Source organism: Homo sapiens, chromosome 16, assembly GCF_000001405.40.
Source record: "Homo sapiens chromosome 16, GRCh38.p14 Primary Assembly".
In the NCBI taxonomy this organism is placed as follows: domain Eukaryota; kingdom Metazoa; phylum Chordata; class Mammalia; order Primates; family Hominidae; genus Homo; species Homo sapiens.
Window position 1 is genome coordinate 67,599,119 of NC_000016.10, and position 20,484 is coordinate 67,619,602.

General features: G+C 44.4%; 1 protein-coding gene across 5 annotated transcripts in view; it reads left to right on the forward strand.

The window, feature by feature from the left end:
- The window catches only part of CTCF (CCCTC-binding factor), a 76,652-nt gene that overhangs the window by 36,593 nt on the left and 19,575 nt on the right, over positions 1–20,484 (forward strand). For 4 of the 5 annotated variants that reach the window (NM_006565.4, NM_001438969.1, NM_001438968.1 and 1 more), the window contains exons 3-5: positions 11,706–12,495; positions 12,833–13,003; positions 17,627–17,760. In NM_006565.4, the coding sequence (NP_006556.1) occupies positions 11,715–12,495; positions 12,833–13,003; positions 17,627–17,760 (1,086 nt within the window). In that variant the 5' untranslated portion in view covers positions 11,706–11,714. The remainder of the gene's footprint in view (positions 1–11,705; positions 12,496–12,832; positions 13,004–17,626; positions 17,761–20,484) is intronic. The other variant, NM_001191022.2, reaches the window with a different exon arrangement.

Consider the following 20,484-nt stretch of genomic DNA (forward strand, 5'->3'; position numbering starts at 1 on the left):
GAATGTGGTGGCTCACGCCTGTAATCCCAGCACTTTGGGAGGCCGAGGCTGGTGGATCACGAGGTCAGGAGATCGAGACCATCCTGGCCAACGTGGTGAAACCTCGTCTCTAGTAAAAATACAAAAACTAGTTGGGCCTGGTGGCACGCGCTGGTAGTCCCAGCTGCTCAGGAGGCTGAGGCAAGAGAATCACTTGAACCTGGGAGGCAGAGGTTGCAGTGAGCCGAGGTCGTGCCACTGCGCTCCAGCCTGGGCAACAGAACGAGAATCTGTCTCAAAGAAAAATAAGTGGCTGAAGCAAGAGGAGGAAGAACTGATCCATGCCCCCTAAGGATACAGGCCTCTGGGGTCTCTGTGTTGGAGCCTAGGCCCTTGCATCCTCACACTCACCATTCAGCAGGGGCAGAGAAGCATTAAGATGCCAGTTTTCCTTCCTTTTAGCCCCTCATCCCCGATTGCCTGGATTGTTCTTCCTCAGTCTGGAGGAACCTCCTGTTCATCATCTACACAGAAGTTGACTGAATAATAAAATTTTTTTATCTAAGCTTCACTTTTTCACCTAGATGATAGAGAAACACAATAAGGATCTGGTCTTAGGAGCTCCATTTTATGGTGATACCACAGTCCGGACGACTAAACCACCCACTTTGCCAAGCTCATTTAGTTGGTTAGTGATGGATTGGGTATACTGGAGTTTCTGTTTATTCCCTGTCCAGTGTCATTGAGTTGAAGGTGACAGCCAAACATTAGTAGATCCTTTAGGCAGTGAAACTGGGATTGCAGATATGGATTGGAAAGACCTCTGTGTAGAAACAGTGGAAGTTAAAAGGCTAGTGTAATGGGCGGCTACGGAGCCTTGGTGTGCTCAGGGGGGCTGGTGAAAGAGTACTCAGAGACGAAGGGAGCTAAGGGAGGAAAGAGGCTTATGAAGGAATAGGATGAGTTTCATCTTGTCAGATGCCAGAGAAACTGAGATTTAGAAAGAGGGAAAGGCCCTTGGGTTGACTCTGGTGGTTCTTGATGGATGGTACCTGTGGGCCAAACAAAGGGGCCGCAGAGGGCTAAGGAGGGAGTTGAGTCCTTTTTAGTAAGGACAGATATTTAAATTTATTATTTTTTTTATTTTTTTTATTTTTGAGGAACAGAGTCTCACTCTGTTGCCCAGGTTGGAGTTCAATGGTGTAATCTCAGCTCACTGTAACCTCTGTGTCCTAGGCTCAAATGATCCTCCTGCCTCAGCCTCCCAAGTAGCTGGGGTTACAGGCATGCACCACCATGCCTGGCTATATTTTGTAGAGATGGTGTTTCACCATGTTGCCCAAGCTGGTCTCGAACTCCTGGACTCAAGGGATCTGCCCACCTCAGCCTCCCAAAGTCCTGGGATTACAGGTGTGAGCCACCATGCCTAGCCTGGCTAATGTGTGTTTTTTAAAATTTGTTTTTAGAGATGGGGTCTCCCCATGTTGCCTGTGCTGGGCTTGAACTCTTGGGCTCAAGTGATCTACTTCAGCCTCCCAAAGTGCTGGGATTACAGGCTTGAGCCATCACACCTAGTCATAAGGACAGATTTTTTGAGATAGAGCAAAGCCATATATAGAAGTGTATATAAATTCCATATATAGTATGATTTCATATATATACAAAATATATACCTTTAACTGAATAGCTGAGAAAACAGCATCAGAATATTAGGTGATTTTCGTAATCTGGAGGAAAAAAAATGTGTCCTGTAAGTAAATTAAAACCGCTTTGAGTGATATAAACTTCATTTTGGTGGCGATATTGGTCCACAAAAAATATTTGATGAAACCTAGAAGGCATGGGCGACTCAAGCAAGCATAGAGCCAAAAAATATGTAGGAATTAGAGTGAGTGGGTATGTTTTGTACTAAGAGGAACTGAGTATTTGAAAGCAGTAAAGAAAGGAGATGGATTGGAGCTGCTAGTGTCGGGAGAGGCAGCTAGAAGCGCAGTCCCCAGGGAGTGGGGAGAATGACCTGGTCCAGCCTATTGGTTACTTATTGATTCAGAGGAGAGACTCCCATCGTCTGGAAAGAAAGTAAAAGGAGAGATCCACTGCTTGATGGAATGCACTAAGGGGTGTGTGTGTGTGTGTGTGTGTGTGTGTGTGTGTGTGTTTTGTTTTGTTTTTTAAGACAGAGTCTCACTCTGTCACCGTGTGTGTGTGTGTGTGTGTGTGTGTGTGTGTGTGTGTGTGTGTTTTGTTTTGTTTTTTTTTAAGACGGAGTCTCACTCTGTCACCCAGCCTGGAGTGCAGTGGCGTGATCTCGGCTCACTGCAAGCTCCACCTCTCGGGTTCATGCCATTCTCCCACCTCAGCCTTCCCAGTAGCTGGGACTACAGGCGCCTGCCACCACGCCCAGCTAATTTTGTTTTTGTATTTCTAGTCGAGATGGGGTTTCACCATGTTAGCCAGGATGGTCTCGATCTCCTGACCTCGGGGATGCTCTGAGATTCTGAGCAGTGTATTGAGAGGCTGATGGCTTGCTACTTTGTGTCTGATTTTTCTCTATTAAAAATAGAAGCTATTGCTTTAAGACCGAGTAGATGCTGTTGTTTTGTGGACTTTATGCCATGTGTTTTTTTTCAGTGAGACAGTACTCTGTCAGCTCAACTTCTTGGAAGCACAGTTGGTTTCTATTTGTACTCTTTTGTACCACTTCTTTTTCTACCTGGTTTATAATTCTGTGACCTCTTTTAGGTTGGACTCGGTTGTTTACAAGCAATTTTTTTTTTTTTTTTTGAGATGGAGTCTCCCTCTGTCACCCAGGCTGGAGTGCAGTGGCCCAATCTTGGCTCACTGCAGCCTCCGCCTCCAGGGTTCACGCGATTCTCCTGCCTCAGCCTCCCAAATAGCTGGGACTATAGGCACCTGCCACCACAACTGGCTAATTTTCGTATTTTTAGTAGAGATGGGGTTTCACCATGTAGGTCAGGCTGGTCGTGAACTCCTGACCTCAGGTGATCCGCCTGCCTCGGCCTCCCAAAGTGCTGGGATTACAGGCGTGAGCCACTCAGCCCAGCCTGTTTACAAGCAATTTTTAACATTTTAAGTTTTCAAATTCACACCAGAGACCAGATAGAATTTTTTTCCGTTGTCTTCAAGTTGTAGCATCAAATTATATGCTACAAAATCCTGGAGACCCCAAAGATTGTTTTTCCTCTACCAATTTTATTATTGAGGATATTTAAATAGTCTGGGATTATGTAGTGACTCTGGCAGGGTCACCACATTTACATTCACAGCATCTCAATTTTTTGTTCTTTGATACCTTTTCTGAGAATGTCACTCTGAAGTAAATTGGGCTTTTTGTATGTTCCCTAGCTCCAGACATCTGGATTATCATTCCCTTTGCAGGGATACTAACTTTTGGGGCTTTTCAGGGACTGAAAAACTTCTCTTAAAAAGTTTTTTTCTGGGGGCTGGGCACGGTGGTTCATGTCTTTAATCCCAGCACTTTGGGAGGCCGAGGCCGGCAGATTACCTGAGGTCAGGAGTTCAAGACCAGCCTGACCAACATGGAGAAACCCTGTCTCTCCTAAAAATATAAAATTAGCCAGGTGTGGTGGCGCATGCCTGTAATCCCAGCTACTCGGGAGGCTGAGGCAGGAGAATCGCTTGAACCCAGGAGTCGGAGGTTGTGTTCAGCCGAGATTGCGCCATTGCACTCCAGCCTAGGCAACAAGAGTGAAACTCCATCTCCAAAAAAAAAAAAAAAAAAAGAGAAGAAAATCTTAATGGGGAAACAGTAATAGTATAAAGTTAAATTGCAAAATCTAATTCTGTGGGTCAAGGGTGGGACCTGAAGTTCTGTGTTTTTAAGAAGCCAGTGCTGCTGGTCCTCAGACCATACTTTGAATAACAAGTACAAAGTTGTGCTGTCCGGTACGGAAGCCCCTAGCCTCATGTTGCTGTTGAGAATTTAGAGTTTCACTGGTTCAAATTAAGGTATGCTGTAAATGTAAGATATAGCTGGGCACGACGGCACATACCTGTAATCACAGCACTTTGGTAGTCTAAGATGGGACAATAACTTGAGGCTGGGAGTTCAAGACCAGCCTGGGCAACACACCTCTACAAAAAAAAAATTACAAAAAAAGAAAACATTAGGCCGGGCGCAGTGGCTCACACCTGTAATCCCAGCACTTTGGGAGGCTGAGGTGGGGGATCACGAGGTCAGGAGATCGAGACCATCCTGCCTAACATGGTGAAACCCCGTCCCTACTAAAAATACAAAAACAAAATTAGCTGGGAGTGCTGGTGGGTGCCTGTAGTCCCAGCTACTCAGGAGGCTGAGGTGGGAGAATGGCATGAACCCGGGAGGCGGAGCTTGCAGTGAGCCGAGATCAAGTCCCTGCACTCCAGCCTGGGCGACAGAGGGAGACTCCCTCTCAAAAAAAAAAGGCTGGGTGTGGTGGCTCACACCTGTAATCCTGGTACTTTGGGAGGCCAAGGCGGGCGGATCAGGAGGTCAGGAGATAAGAGACCATCCTGGCTAACACGGTGAAACCCCGTCTCTACTAAAAGTACAAAAAATTAGCCGGGCGTGGTGACAGGAGCCTGTAGTCCCAGCTACTTGGGAGGCTGAGGCAGGAGAATGGCGTTAACCCAGTAGGTGGAGCTTGCAGTGAGCTGAGATCGCGCCACTGCACTTCAGCCTGGGCAACAGTGCAAGACTCTGTCTCAAAAAAAAAAAAAAAAATTAGAGGCCAGGCACGGTGGTTTATGCCTGTAATCCTAGCAATTTGGGAGGCTGAGGCGGGCAGATGACTTGAGCCCAGGAGTTCGAGACCAGTCTGTGCAACATGGTGAAACCCCACTTTTACTAAAAATACAAAAAAATTAGCCTGGTGCCTGGTATGAACCTGTAGTCCCAGCTACTCGGGAGGCTGAGGTGGGAGAATCACCTGAGCCCAGGAAGTCAAGGCTGCAATGAGCCATGACCATTCTGCTGCACTCCAGCCTGGGCAACAGAGGAAACCCCGTCTCAAAAAAAAAAAAAAAAAGAAAAGAAAAGAAAATTAATTGAGCATGGTGGCATAAACTGTAGTCCTAGCTACTTGGCAGACTGAGGCAGGAGGATCACTGGAGCCCAGGAGTTGGAGGTTACAGTGAGCTGTGATCCTACCACTGCACTCCAGTCTGGGCAACAGAGCAAGTCTGTGTCTCAAGCATAACAATTTTTTTTGTTAGTTTTGTTTTTGTTTTGTTTGTTTGTTTTTGAGACAGAGTCTCGCTCTGTTGCCAGGCTGGAGTGCAGTGGCGCGATCTTGGCTCATTGCAAGCTCCACCTCCCAGGTTCACACCATTCTCCTGCCTCAGCCTCCCAAGTAGCTGGGACTATAGGCATCCGCCACCACGCCCGGCTAATTTTTGTATTTTTAGTAGAGACAGGATTTCGCCATGTTAGCCAGGATGGTCTGTATCTCCTGACCTCATGATCCACCTGCCTTGGCCTCCCAAAGTGTTGGGATTACAGACATGAGCCACCATACCCGGCCAACAATTTTTTAAATTGATGAAACCTTGAAATGATATTTTGGACATACCAGGTTAAGTAAAATAGATTACTAAAATTAATTTCACCAGGGTTTTTTTTTTTTTTGTTTTTTGTTTTTTTTTTTTACTTTTTAATATGAATTTTTTTTACTTAAAATTACATATAATGTGGCTTATGTTTGTGGCTTGCATTATATTTCTATTGAACAGTGCCAGCCTAGAGAATTTATATTCTAAAGATAATCTGTCTGAACAGTACTGAGTATATAAAATTAATTATAGTTAGGATTATGCTTAGTCTTTTACAATCAGAGGTATAAATGGGATTTTTTTTTTTTTTTTTTTTTTTTTTTTGAGACAGTCTCGCTCTGTCTCCCAGGCTGGAGTGCAGTGGCGCAATCTCGGCTCATGGCAAGCTTCGCCTTCCGGGTTCACGCCATTCTCCTGCCTCAGCCTCCCGAGTAGCTGGGACTACAGGCACCCGCCACCACTCCTGGCTAATTTTTTGTATTTTTTAGTAGAGATGGTGTTTCACCGTGTTAGCCAGGATGGTCTCGGTCTCCTGACCTCATGATCCACCCGCCTTCGCCTCCCAAAGTGCTGGGATTACAGGCGTGAGCCACCACGCTTGGCCTAAATGACATCTTATAATAAAAATACTAGCACTTTGCTCATTTTTAATTTATAGGTGAATTATAAAGCATTCTACAAATGTTCTTTGATCCCCACCTTCTGCGGTAACATTTTTTTATATTTGTCCCCACTGTCATGGAACAGCATAGTAAGAAGCCTTTGCATTGGATGTTGTTGTATTTTTCTCTTGGTTGTTGAGAACAAGGGACTAATGAAAGAAAGAAGGTAATGGAAGAATAAACCAAACTGGCAATCCAACAACCTCGGGAGTTTACCTTGAGCCTTGTTTTTTTCCAGGCAGATGGTGGGGTTTGCTGAATCTGTCCAAAAGTATATGTTGCTTCAAGCCCGGCTTTTGCCCTTAAAGAGCTTTCACACCCAACTGGGAAAATAGATCGTTTTGAGAAAATTTTAAGTGCTAAACTGTGTCCTTATTTTATCAGAAACACATTTGGAGCAAAGTAGTGGCCACAAGAACCTCAGAAAGCTTTGTTGTGCCAGGGATGAGCTGGTGTTGAGAGGAGTGGATCAGACGTAAAGTACAGAGTGAAGACAGGGAGATGACAGTAGGAACTGTGTCTGGATGAAAAGACAGCTTGACTGAAGGGGAGAGTGCTAGAGGGCAAGACATAAATCTGAATAGGTTATCATGGGGTCAGGTACGAAGGGGCTTTGTGAGCCAGAAGGGTGGTAAGTGCATCATGTAGTTTTTGCAAAAGTAGAGACACACTTTTTGAGGAAATTAAGTCTTCTTCTTTGTGAAATGAGTGAATCTTTACTTCTCTGCCCAGAAAGCATAAGTGGTTTTCCATTGCCAGTCATCTGAGGTATTTTGTTATTCAAGACCATCCAAACTATGGGGGGCAACCAGCACATCTTTCACCTGTCTTACTACCCTCTCCTCTGTCCTGTGCTTTAAGCCAGTTCTTTTTCTTACTCATAACTAATTCCCACATGTATTTATTGTACCCAGAAATCCAAACCTTTCCCCTACAGAATACATCCTCTGCCCTCCACTGTCAAACTCTGCCTTTAAATGTCCTGCTCACGTTTCAGGGTTCCGTTCAAATTCCACATTTATGAAGCATTTTTCTATCACACCTGGTTATGTTATCTTTCTCCAAACCTATGTAATTTCACCTTGAACCATTGTGCTACCTATTTTGTCCTTTATGTTAGACAGTAACTCCTAGAATGTAGGACCAGGCCTCCCAAAATGCTGGGATTACAGGCGTGAGCCACCACGCCCGGCCCCTATTTTGCTCTTGTTTAGGTAATGTCATTCTCTCTGTAGTAGTTCTTGTGCTGCCTCTCAGGTGGTCCTGGCTTAAGGAGTCTTCTCTGACTGCTATCATGGATATAATACAATGTTAAGGTGCCTAGACAGAGAATTGGAGAAAAGTGTGTCTAATAGAACTAACAAAAGCTTCGTTTGAGCTGTATTCTTGGCCAAAAATACAAAACACTTCAATGTTTTGTTTTGGGTTTTTTTTTTTTTTTTTTTTGAGACATAGTTTCACTCTTATCGCCCAGGCTCCAGGCTGGAGTGCAGTGGCACTCGGCTCACTGCAATCTCCGCCTCCAGGCTTCAAGCAATTCTCGAGCCTCACTCAGCCTTCCAAGTAGCTGGGATTAGAGGCACACCCCACCACACTCAGCTATATATGTTTTATTTTATTTTAATTATTATTATTTTTTTGAGACAGAGGCTCGCTCTGTTGCCCTGGCTGGAGGGAGTACAGTGGCCCAATCTCAGCTCACTGCAACCTCCACCTCCCAGGTTCAAGCAATTCTTCTGCCTCGGCCTCCTGAGTAGCTGGGATTACAGGCATGTGCCACCACACCTGGCTAATTTTTGTATTTTTAATAGAAACGGGGTTTTGCCGTGTTGGCCAGGCTTGTCTCCATCTCCTGACTTCAAGTGATCTGCCCGCCTCGGCCTCCCAAAATGCTGGGATTACAGGCCTGAGCCACCACGCCTGGCCCCTATTTTACTCTTGTTTAGGTAATGTCATTCACAAGATTTTTGTTTGTTTTTTATTTTTTGTTTTTGAGACCGAGTCTCACTCTGTCGCCCAGGCTGGAATGCAGGGGCACTTTCTCAGCTCGCTGCAACCTCCACCTCCAGGGTTCAAGTTCTTTTCGTGCCTCAGCCTCCCAAGTAGCTGGGATTACAGGTGCACACCACTACGCCTGGCTAATTTTTGTATTTTTAGTAGAGATGGGGTTTTGCCATGTTAGCCAGGCTGGTCTTGAACTCCTGGCCTCAACTGATCCACCAGCCTTGGCCTCCCAAAGTGCTGGGATTACAGGCGTGAGCTACCGTGCCCGGCCCATTCACAAGATATAAGAGCCAAAAACTATGAATTGGCTGATTTGTTTTCTGCTTTCTATTATATATTCAATTTGGTTGGCATTTATTGAGTACTTACCATCCTGGGCACAGTGCTAAAGAGTAAAAACCGTGGCTGGGCGTGGTGGCTCACGCCTGTAGTCCCAGCACTTTGGGAGGCCGAGGCGGACAGATCACGAGGTCAGAAGTTCAAGACCAGCCTGGCCAACATAGTGAAACCCCGTATCTGCTAAAAATACAGAAAATTAGCCAGGTGTGGTGGTGGGCACCTGTAATCCCAACTACTCCGGAGGCTGAAGCAGGAGAATCACTTAAACCTGGGAGGCAGAGGTTGCAGTGAGCCAAGATCACGCCATTGCACTCCAGCCTGGGCGACAGTGCGAGACTCCGACTCAAAAAAAAAAAAAAAGTAAAAACCGGTTGGGCGCAGTGGCTCACACCTGTAATCCCAGCACTTTGGGAGGCCGAGGCAGGCGGATCACGAGGTCAGGAAATCGAGACCATCCTGGCTAACATGGTGAAACCCCGTCTCTACTAAAAATACAAAAAATTAGCCGGGCATGGTGGTGGGCGCCTGTAGTCCCAGCTACTCGGGAGGCTGAGGCAGGAGAATGGCGTGAACCTGGGAGGCGGAGCTTGCAGTGAGCGGAGATCGTGCCACTGCACCCTAGCCTGGGCAACAGAGCGAGACTCCGTCTCAAAAAAAAAATTAAAAAAAAAAAAACGACTTGTTAGATGTGGTTCTTATTCTCAGGGAATTCCTGATCTCATTGTCAGGAGAGAGGTGAATGTCAAGTTGATGGTATGACATGGGCAGTTTTGTGCAGTGTCTACAAACACGGCCATTGCAGTCTGGATCTAAGTTCTGAGTTTGGCTTCAAAAAACAAGGTCAAAAACCCTTGACAGGGTGGGGAAAATGGGGAATTGCTGTTGAGTGGGTATAAAGTTTCAGTTATGCAAGATGAGTAAGTTCTAGAGATCTGCTACACAACATAGTTCCTGTATTAATCGTATAGCATTATGCACTTTGAATTATGTTGAGGATGGATCTCATGATAAATATTATCACCAAAAACAAAATACAAGGAAATTTTGGAGGTGTATTTAGTGTTTTTTTTTTTCTTTTTTGAGACGGAGTTTCGTTCTTGTTGCCCAGGCTGCACAGTACAATGGCGCAATCTTGGCTCACCGCAACCTCCACCTCCCGGGTCAAACGATTCTCCTGCCTCAGCCTCCCAAGTAGCCAGGATTACATACAGGCATGCACCATCACACCTGGCTAATTTTGTATTTTTACTTAGGACGGGGTTTCTCCATGTTGTTCAGGGTGGTCTCGTACTCCCGACCTCAGGTGATCCACACACCTCAGCCTCCCAAAGTGCTGGGATTATAGGCGTGAGCCACCACGTGCTTAATAAAGCTACCTTAATAAAGCTTTTTACAAAACATTGGCAGACCCGGGCACAGTGGCTCAGTCACATGTATAATCCCAGCACTTTGGGAGGCTTAGGTGGGAGGATTGCTTCAGCCCAGGAGTTCAAGGCCAGTCTGGAAATGTGGCAAGACCCCATAATTGCAGAAAATTAAGCTAATTCATATATGCATCATCTCACATCCTTGTCATTTTTTGTGATGAGAACACTTAAAAATCTGCTCTCAGTTATTTTCAGGTATACGTTATTATTAACTGTAATATTCATGTTGTATAATAGATCTCTTGAACTTATTCCCACTGAAATTATATGTCCTTTACCAGTGTCTTCCCCACTACATGTGTAAGATTTAAATTAGTTTTGTTAGTAATTCTTTAATATCATCAGATATCCAGAGTTGAAATTTCTAATTGTCTTGTGTCACATCTTTTTCACCATTTATTGGTTTGAATCAGGATCCAAAGAAGATTCATGCATTGTGATTGATTACTGTCTCTTTAAGACTCTTTTATCTGTATCAGAGTTTCTCAGCCTCAGTGCTCTTGACATCTTGGGCCTGATAATTCTTTTTTTTTTTTTTTTTGAGATGGAATCTCGCTCTGTCGCCCAGGCTGGAGTGCAGTGGCGCGATCTTGGCTCACTGCAAGCTCCGCCTCCCAGGTTCACGCCATTCTCCTGCCTCAGCCTCCCAAGAGCTGGGACTACAGGCGCCCACCACCACGCCCGGCTAATTTTTTTGTATTTTTTAGTAGAGACGGGGTTTCACCGTGTTAGCCAGGATGGTCTCGATCTCCTGACCTCCGGTAATCTGCCCGCCTCAGCCTCCCAAAGTGCTGGGATTACAGGCGTGAGCCACCGTGCCCGGCCTGGCCTGATAATTCTTTGTGGTGGAGGACTGACCTGTGTCTTGGAGGATGTTTAATAGCATCTCTAGCTTTCACCCACGAGATAACAGTAGCACATCCCAGCCCAGTAGTGACAACCAAAAATGTGTTAGCCAAATGTTCCTAGAGGCAAAGTCACCCCAGGCTGAGAACTACTGATCTACTGGTTCTCCCTCCAATCAGTCTTCCCTTGTATTCTTCTTGTTATCTATTTGCAGAAGAACCTGAGTATAATCTTGCAGTGTTTCCCTCGGTATGGATTTCACTGATTTAATCCCTGTAGTATAATTTAACATCCTGAGTCACCAATTTCCTGTTAATTGGGTTGGATCTAGAGACTTGATTGGTTTCAGAGTTTTGGAGTTTGTTTGACAAAATTGCATTATAGGTAGTGGTTTTTTCTTTTTCTTTTTTTTTTTTTTTTTTTTGAGATGGAGTCTTGCTCTGTCCCCCACGCTGGAGCGCAGTGGTGCAATCTCGGCTCACTGCAAGCTCCGCCTCCTGGATTCAAGCTATTCTTCTGCCTCAGCCTCCCGAGTAGCTGGGACTACAGGCGCCCGCCACCATGCCTGGCTAATTTTTTTTGTATTTTTAGTAGAGACGGGGTTTCACCGTGTTAGCCAGGATGTTCTCGATCTCCTGACCTCGTGATCCGCCCGCCTCAGCCTCCCAAAGTGCTGGGATTACAGGCGTGAGCCACTGCACCTGGCCAGTAGTGGTTGTTTCTTTCATCAAGAGGCACATGTCTGTTGTGTCTTTTTTAATATTAACAACCATTGATGCCTAATTCATTCACCAAAGGGTCTTTTTGTTTTAAAATGTATATTTTTATTTAGACATGCTTTGCTTTAAATAACAATCTGTGTTCTCCCTTAATAAAGGCAGGGGAAATGGAAGGTGATGCAGTCGAAGCCATTGTGGAGGAGTCCGAAACTTTTATTAAAGGAAAGGAGAGAAAGACTTACCAGAGACGCCGGGAAGGGGGCCAGGAAGAAGATGCCTGCCACTTACCCCAGAACCAGACGGATGGGGGTGAGGTGGTCCAGGATGTCAACAGCAGTGTACAGATGGTGATGATGGAACAGCTGGACCCCACCCTTCTTCAGATGAAGACTGAAGTAATGGAGGGCACAGTGGCTCCAGAAGCAGAGGCTGCTGTGGACGATACCCAGATTATAACTTTACAGGTTGTAAATATGGAGGAACAGCCCATAAACATAGGAGAACTTCAGCTTGTTCAAGTACCTGTTCCTGTGACTGTACCTGTTGCTACCACTTCAGTAGAAGAACTTCAGGGGGCTTATGAAAATGAAGTGTCTAAAGAGGGCCTTGCGGAAAGTGAACCCATGATATGCCACACCCTACCTTTGCCTGAAGGGTTTCAGGTGGTTAAAGTGGGGGCCAATGGAGAGGTGGAGACACTAGAACAAGGGGAACTTCCACCCCAGGAAGATCCTAGTTGGCAAAAAGACCCAGACTATCAGCCACCAGCCAAAAAAACAAAGAAAACCAAAAAGAGCAAACTGCGTTATACAGAGGAGGGCAAAGATGTAGATGTGTCTGTCTACGATTTTGAGGAAGAACAGCAGGAGGGTCTGCTATCAGAGGTTAATGCAGAGAAAGTGGTTGGTAATATGAAGCCTCCAAAGCCAACAAAAATTAAAAAGAAAGGTAAAACGAGTTTATCCATAGTGGTTTCATAAAACCATTTTGGGATAAGCATACAACACAGTGCATATGCAAGTTGTTTTATATTAACCGTATTTGTAAAAGGTCGTTATGTGGGTACCGTTCTTTAAAACCAGTCTAAAATAAGTTTTTTCCAGATTGAATGCTCTTTTTTTAATCCCAAAGAAGAAGGAAATGTATTAGTGACATGAGATAATTATGACTTATATTGGGTTTTGTTATTAAAAGCTAATCAAATATATTTGTAGAAATTTAAGATTAGGATTAATCTTAACACTTTGAAACTCTGCAGCAAGTAAGTGTTTTATTTTGCACATAGGTGTAAAGAAGACATTCCAGTGTGAGCTTTGCAGTTACACGTGTCCACGGCGTTCAAATTTGGATCGTCACATGAAAAGCCACACTGATGAGAGACCACACAAGTGCCATCTCTGTGGCAGGGCATTCAGAACAGTCACCCTCCTGAGGAATCACCTTAACACACACACAGGTGCTGGATAAGAATGTTGGGGGCTACAACAGCAAATGCTCAGACTTCGCTTTTTAGTATTCATTCAAGCTGACTCCAGCGGGAATTTAAAGGAAGTTTTTATTATTTCTTATGATGCCCTTTTTGTAATCATGATTTTATTGTAAGCACTTGGACTTAGTTATTATAGACAAATGTAAAGAAAATTTAATGAAAAATAACACCCTCTCTCTTAAAAAAAAGAAGTCTCAGGCAATAGATGCCTGGTACTATGAGGAAGAATGTTAGAAATAGAAGTGAAATCCCAGTGAAACCCTGTCTCTACTAAAAATACAAAAAATTAGCTGGGTGTGGTGGTGGGCGCCTGTAGTCCCAGCTACTCGGGAGGCTGAGGCAGGAGAATGGCGTGAACCCGGGAGGTGGAGCTTGCAGTTAGCCGAGATCCCACCACTGCACTCCAGCCTGGGCGACAGTGCGAGTCTCCGTCTAAAAAAAAAGAAAAGAAAAGAAATAGAAGTGAAATCCTACCTTTATTTAAAAAAAAAAAAGTGGCCGGGTACAGTGGCTCACGCCTGTAATCCTAACACTCTGGGAGGCTGAGGTGGGCAGATCACTTGAGATTAGAAGTTGGAGACCAGCCTGGCCAACGTGACAAAATCACATCCATCTGTACTAGAAATACATAAATTAGCCAGGTGTGGTGGCGGGTGCCTGTAATCCCAGCTACTCAGGAGGCTCAGGCAGGAGAATCGCTTGAAACCTGGGAGGCAGACACTGCAATGAGCTGAGATAGTGCTACTGCACTCCAGCCTGGGCGACAGAGTGAGACTCCATCTCAAAAACAAACCTTAACATTTTTTGTTTCTGGTTGTTTCACGTCAAGGAAGATAATTCATAATTTCAGAATGGAAAAGCTAAGGCACCATTCTGATAATTCAAACATTTATTTGAGCATCCTACTTACTTTAGTGTTCAGATATTCTGATATTAGCTTCATGTTGGCTGTGGCCAGGTTCCCTGAGGTCTCTAAAGTAGAGGGACTCTGTGCACTAAACCTCTCTTTAAGCTTTCCTGAGCTATTTGTTATCCCAGTGTAGGAAGTTGGTTGCAAGTCTTCTCACATGGTTTTTCATGCAGAATAACTTCATTTCATATGACAACTCTTGTTTTTGATTTTTAGGTTTTTAAAAATTTCTAATGACAACCCTTGTTTTAGATTTGTTGTGCTGGTTGTCAGATGACCATGATCAAGTGGGTGTTAATCATAAACAGTATGCTGCACATGGGCACATTCTTCACTAATGTGACTTACTTTTAAACATCTCCCTAATTTCTACTCAGACACTTGATAATATGTTTTATTTGATACTTTGAAGACACTAGGATGGGGCATATGACTAAATAAAAGTAACTGGGTAATCCCAGCACTTTGGAAATCCAATGGGGGGTAGATGACCTGAGGCCAGGAGTTCTAGACCAGCCCGGCCAACATGGCAAAACCGCCTCTGTACTGAAAATACAAAAAATCAGCTGGGTGTAGTGGCACACGCCTGTAAACCCAGCTACTTGGGTGGCTGAGGCAGGAGAATCACTTGAATGCGGGAGACAGAGGTTGCAGTAAGCCAAGATTGTGCCACCGTACTCCAACCTAAGTGACAGAGCAAGACTCTGCCTCACCAAAATAAATAAATAAATAAATAAATGGCCCCATAACAGGACTTCCCAAGATGGGTGTGCCTTGGTGTGGGCATTCTCTATCTGGTCTTCAGCTTTGAAAGTAAGAGGTACAGTCTATCTGGTTACTCAGCAGATTTGGCAAGACTGATTCATACCAACAAAACCCATAAGAGCAGATGCATACACCAAGAGTATCAGTTTATGGTGAGGAGTATACCTTTTCATGTTCCAGATGCAGTTGCATTGCATTCTAGGGGGCGCCTTTGCCTCTGTTACGATGCTGTAGCAGCCGGGCGCCGTAGCTCTCGCCTGTAATCCCATCACTTTGGGAGGCCGAGGTGGGTGGATCACCTGAGGTCAGGAGTTCAAGACCAGCCTGGCTAACATGACGAAACCTCGTCTCTACTAAAAATATAAAAATTAGCCGGGCGTGGTGACGCATGCCTGTAGTCCCAGCTACTCGGAAGGCTGAGGCAGGAGAATTGCTTAAATCCAGGAAGCAGAAATTGCAGTGAGTGGAGATCGCACCATTGCACTCCAGCCTGGGCGACAGAGTGAGACTCCATCTCAAAAAAAAAAAAAAAAAAAAAAGATGTTGTAGCAATTGAAAGCTAACTTGGTGAGGATGAGCCTTGATGGCTGGGCATGGTGGCTCACACCTGTAATCCCTGCACCTAGGGAGGCTGAGGCGGGTGGATCACTTGAGGTCAGGGGTTTGAGACCAGTCTGGCCAACATGATGAAACCTCATCTCCACTAAAAATACAAAAATTAGCCAGGTGGCCGGGTGTGGTGGCTTACGCCTGTAATCCCAGCACTTTGGCACTTTGGGAGGCTGACGCGGGCAGATCACCTGAGGTCAGGAGTTCAAGACTAGCCTGACCAACATGGGGAAATCCTGTCTCTATTAAAAATACAAAATTAGCCGGGTGTGGTGGCACATGCCTGTAATCCCAACTACTCGGGAGGCTGAGGCAGGAGAATCACTTAAACCCAGGAGGCGGAGGTTGCGGTGAGCTGAGATCGTGCCATTGCACTCCAGCCTGGGCAACAAGAGCAAAACTCGGTCTCAAGAAAAAGCCAGGCATGGTGGCCCATGCCTGTAATCCCAGCACTTCGGGAGGCTGAAGCAGGCGGATCACAAGGGCAGGAGATCGAGACCATCCTGGCCAACATGGTGAAACCCCGTCTCTACTGAAAATAGAAAAAAAAAATGTTAGCCAGGTGTGGTGGCATGTACCTGTAGTCCCAGCTACTCAGGAGGCTGAGGCAAGAGAATTACTTCAACCTGGAAGGTAGAGGTTGCAGTGAGCCAAAATCATGCTACTGCACTACAACCTGGGCGACAGAGCAAGAGACTCCGTCTCAAAAAAAAGAGGATGGGCCTTGAGTGAAGGGATGTAGGTGGTCATGTGGCACAGCCTAATGGAACTCCCTGCCCCACAGCAGTGTCCACTTCTTTGCTAATTGCCACGCTTATGCAGGCCTTTCTCTGCCCTGGATAGTACTAGGTAAACACGAGCATTTATTTTTTAGCTTACTTTGTTCTAAAAGAAGACCAAGCATGGTGGCTCACAACCTGTAATCTCAGGACTTTGTGAGGCCGAGGCCGGAGGATTGCTTGAGCCCAGGAGTTTGAGACAAGCCTGGGCAACGTGGCAAGACTCCATCTCTACAAAATAGAAAAAATTAGCCAGGCATGGTGGTGCAAGCCTGTAGTCTCAGCTACTGGAGAGGCTGAAGTAGGAGGATCACTTGAGCCTGGGAAGTCAAGGCTGCAGTGAGCCTTGATCCTATCACTGCACTCCCACTGGGTAACAGAGGAAGACCCTGGCTCAAAAACAAAAAACGAAAAGAAAATTGGATGCCACTTTTCTTCTCTTGTTAATTGTTTTACTTCTTATCCATACCACCAGACTATACACTTTCACAGGAAGAACTCTGTGCTTTACCGTTAGATCCATAGTGGTTCTAAAGAATCGAATGAACAAATGAACATTCCTTGGAATTGCTTAGTTTTTATTATACTCCAGTCACTCTTCCTCTCCAGCATTCTCTTCATTCTCAAAGAGAATCATTTCTGCAGATGGCTGGTTCTATTCATTACATTGTGGCTCTTCCTAATTGTATCCTCAAAGGCAGCCTTCCTTTGGTTTTAGTGTTTGATACTACCTTGCTGTCACCCCTTACCTGCTGCCCACAATTACAGATGGTCACTAGTCTGTGAAACTAGCACTGCATTGTGCTCTCAGTTTTGTCTCTAAGATTCCTTCAGTGAAAGACAAGAAATGTAGAGAGTATATTATTCATGTTTTATATTGGATGAATTGACATTCAGAATGATCACAGCATATTAGACATGGATGTTTGAAAATCATTTGTTTAAATCACATAAAAGGAAATACTATGTAAAGCCTGTGATAAGCCTCTGAAATTCCTTATCAAGACAGATACATGTGGAAAACAAGTTATATGTTTGTGTTTTTAAAAGAAAGTTGCAGAATATGGACAGCCCAATGGCCCTATATTTATAGTCATAATACAACGAGATTTGAGAGACAGGATCTTGCTATGTTGCCCAGGCTGGTCTCAAACTCTTAGCCTCCCAGAGTTCTGGGATTAGAGGCATGAGCCACCAAGCCCGGTCTCTATTAACTTTTAATCCATAATGACCAGGATATTCACAAAATAGGAATAAGAAGGTTTTTATTGTATTCAAAGGCAGCGGATTCAGATGGGTAATTAAGAGAAACTAATTTGGTATGTGTTATAATATCCTGGTGTTAGTATAAATTCATCCAGGCCCTCCCATAGTTTTCGGAGCTGACTTTTGTATCTGCTTTCAAGCTACTGCAGTTGATGGGATGAATAGGGTTCCAGTCTCATAGCAGTTCTGTGCCACACATTGAACTCTGTCATTAACTGTGCCCTTGATCTTGCTCTTCCTGTTACTCCATCCTTTCTCTAGGTACTCGTCCTCACAAGTGCCCAGACTGCGACATGGCCTTTGTGACCAGTGGAGAATTGGTTCGGCATCGTCGTTACAAACACACCCACGAGAAGCCATTCAAGTGTTCCATGTGCGATTACGCCAGTGTAGAAGTGAGTGTTCAGCTTTTTGTTGGTATCTCTCTTAGGCAGACCATGATTTATTTCAATACAAAGCTATAACTACTACCCAAACGGACTTAAGATGAGGTAGAAAAATGTTAGTAAATTATTAACACTCCCACACAACACCGCTCCCCCAAAAAACTTATGATGATTGTGAAAGATTTACTTGTTAAAAAGAGTCAAGTTTCTGGCTGGGTGCGGTGGCTCACGCCTATAATCCCAGCACTTTGGGAGGCTGAGGTGGGCGGATCACCTGAGGTCGGGAGTTGGAGACCAGCTTGACCAACATGGAGAAACCCGATCTGTACTAAAAAATAAAAAATTTAGGCTGGGCCTGGTGGCTCACAGCCTATAATCCCAGCAGTTTGGGAGGCTGAGGTGGGTGGATCACAAGGTCAGGAGATTGAGACCATCCTGGCTAAAACGGTGAAACCCTGTCTCTACTAAAAATACAAAAAATTAGCTGGGTGTGGTGGCAGGCACCTATAGTCCCAGCTACTCGGGAGGCTGAGGCAGGAGAATGGCGTGAACCCCAGAGGCAGAGCTTGCAGTGAGCTGAAATCACGCCACTGCACTCCAGCCTGGGCGACAGAGCGAGACTCCCTCCATCTCAAAAAATAATAATAAATAAATAAATAAATATTAGCTGGGCGTGGTGGTGCATGCCTGTAATCCCAGCTACTTGGGAGGCTGAGGCAGGAGAATCACTTGAACCCGGGAGGTGGAGGTTGCAGTGAGCCGAGATCGTGCCATTGCAGTCCAGCCTGGGCAACAAGAGTGAAACTCCGTCTTAAAAAAGAGTACCAGTTTCACATGTTAATACAGGCAAATTCTGTCAAACTTTGAAGAAAAAACTGTACCCAGAGCATTTTAAAATGGTAGGTTTATCAATTTTATTATTTGAAGCTACACTGTTACCAAAACTGGGTCAGAAAACTACCAAAAAGAAAACTTACCCTCAGAGAGAAGCAAAAATTCTAAATGAAATTATTAGCCAATGAGCCAACCTAATTTAGTAATACGTTCTAAAAATAAGTGATACTGAATATATCTGAAACACAAAGATTGTTTATCATTGGGAAATTGCTGATGTATATTACATTGAAGGATTGAAGAAAAACCATATTATTTCTGTAGATGGGATGGGAGCTAAAATTCAGTAATCATTAATTACTGTTTAATGTCCTAGCAAGTTACGTATAGGAGAAAACTTCTTTAATATAATGTGTTTAGGCTGGGCATGGTGGCTCACGCCTGTAATCCCAGTACTTTGGGAGGTTGAGGTGGGCAGATCACCTGAGGTCAGGAGTTGACCAGTGTGGCCAACATGGTGAAACACCATCTGTACTAAAAATACAAAAATTAGCTGGGCATGGCAGCATGCGCCTGTAGTCTCAGCGACTCGGGAGCCTGAGGCAGGAGAATCACTTGAACCTGGGAGGTGAAGGTTGCATTGAGGCAAGATCGCACCACTGCACTCCAGCCTGGGTGATGAGTGAGACTCCCCCTCAAAAAAATTTTAAACAGCATATATACCAGAAATGTATAATAAACTCATCCTAATTAATTCTGAAACATTGAAAGTATTTCCATTAAAATCTGGAATATGACAAGATATTCATTCTTAATGTTACTGTTTCAGCTTTGTACTGGAAATCCTAGCTAATCGAATAAAGCAAGAAATGAATTATTAATGGAAAGATAAAACTGTTATTTCTTGCAGAGAGATTTGCTTACAGAGAAAATCTAAGAGTATCAGAACAAAAACTTAGAGCAATAAGAGTTCAGTTCACTGGCCGGATATAAGATAAGCATACAGAAATCAGTAACGTCAATAGTGATAGGAAGGTATGAAATGGATTCTAATAGCAATAAAATAACTGAGGGATAAACTGAACAACAAAAAATATCTATGAAATGTACATGAAGAAAACCTCAGTAACTTTTCCAGAGGACCTGAATAAATGAAGAAACATTACAAGTTGATTCTAACTTTCAACTGGAAGAATAAATATGAATGGCTAAGAAAAATTTGAAAATAGAATGAGGGGCTTGTGCCATTGGATTTTGTAAAACTATAGTAAATGAAGCCAGTGTGATATTGCAGTAGGAATAGATAGCTCATTGGAACAGAGTAGGTTCTGGTACATATTGAAATTAACAGGTTAAATAGGGAAATCTTGAAGGAAAAGAATTAGTAACGCTGTTAGGATAGTTATCGACTTATGTGTGTGAAAACTTGGTGTGTAACACTTATGAGTGGGGCCAGGCGCGGTAGCTCACGCCTGTAATCCCAGCACTTTGGGAAGCTGAGGCGGGTTGGTCACCTGAGATCAAGAGTTTGAGACCAGCCGGGCCAACGTGGTGAAACCCCGTCTCTACTAAAAATACAGAAGTTAGCCAGGCCTGGTGGCGTGCGCCTGTAGTCTCAGCTACTCGGGAGGCTGAGGCAGGAGAATTGCTTGACCCTGGGAGGCGGAGGTTGCAGTGACCCACAATCGTGACAGTGTACTCCAGCCTGGGCAACGGAGCGAGATTTCATCTCAAAAAAAACCAAAAAAAACTCAGAGACATTTATGAGTACAGTGTTTTTTTGTTTTTTGTTTGTTTGTTTCCTTAAAATTGGGATACTTTTTAAATTTTTCAAAACAAACATTGAAACATTAGTGAATGTTCAAAACGCTTTTTGGAGCAGGGGGTGCGTGGCAGACA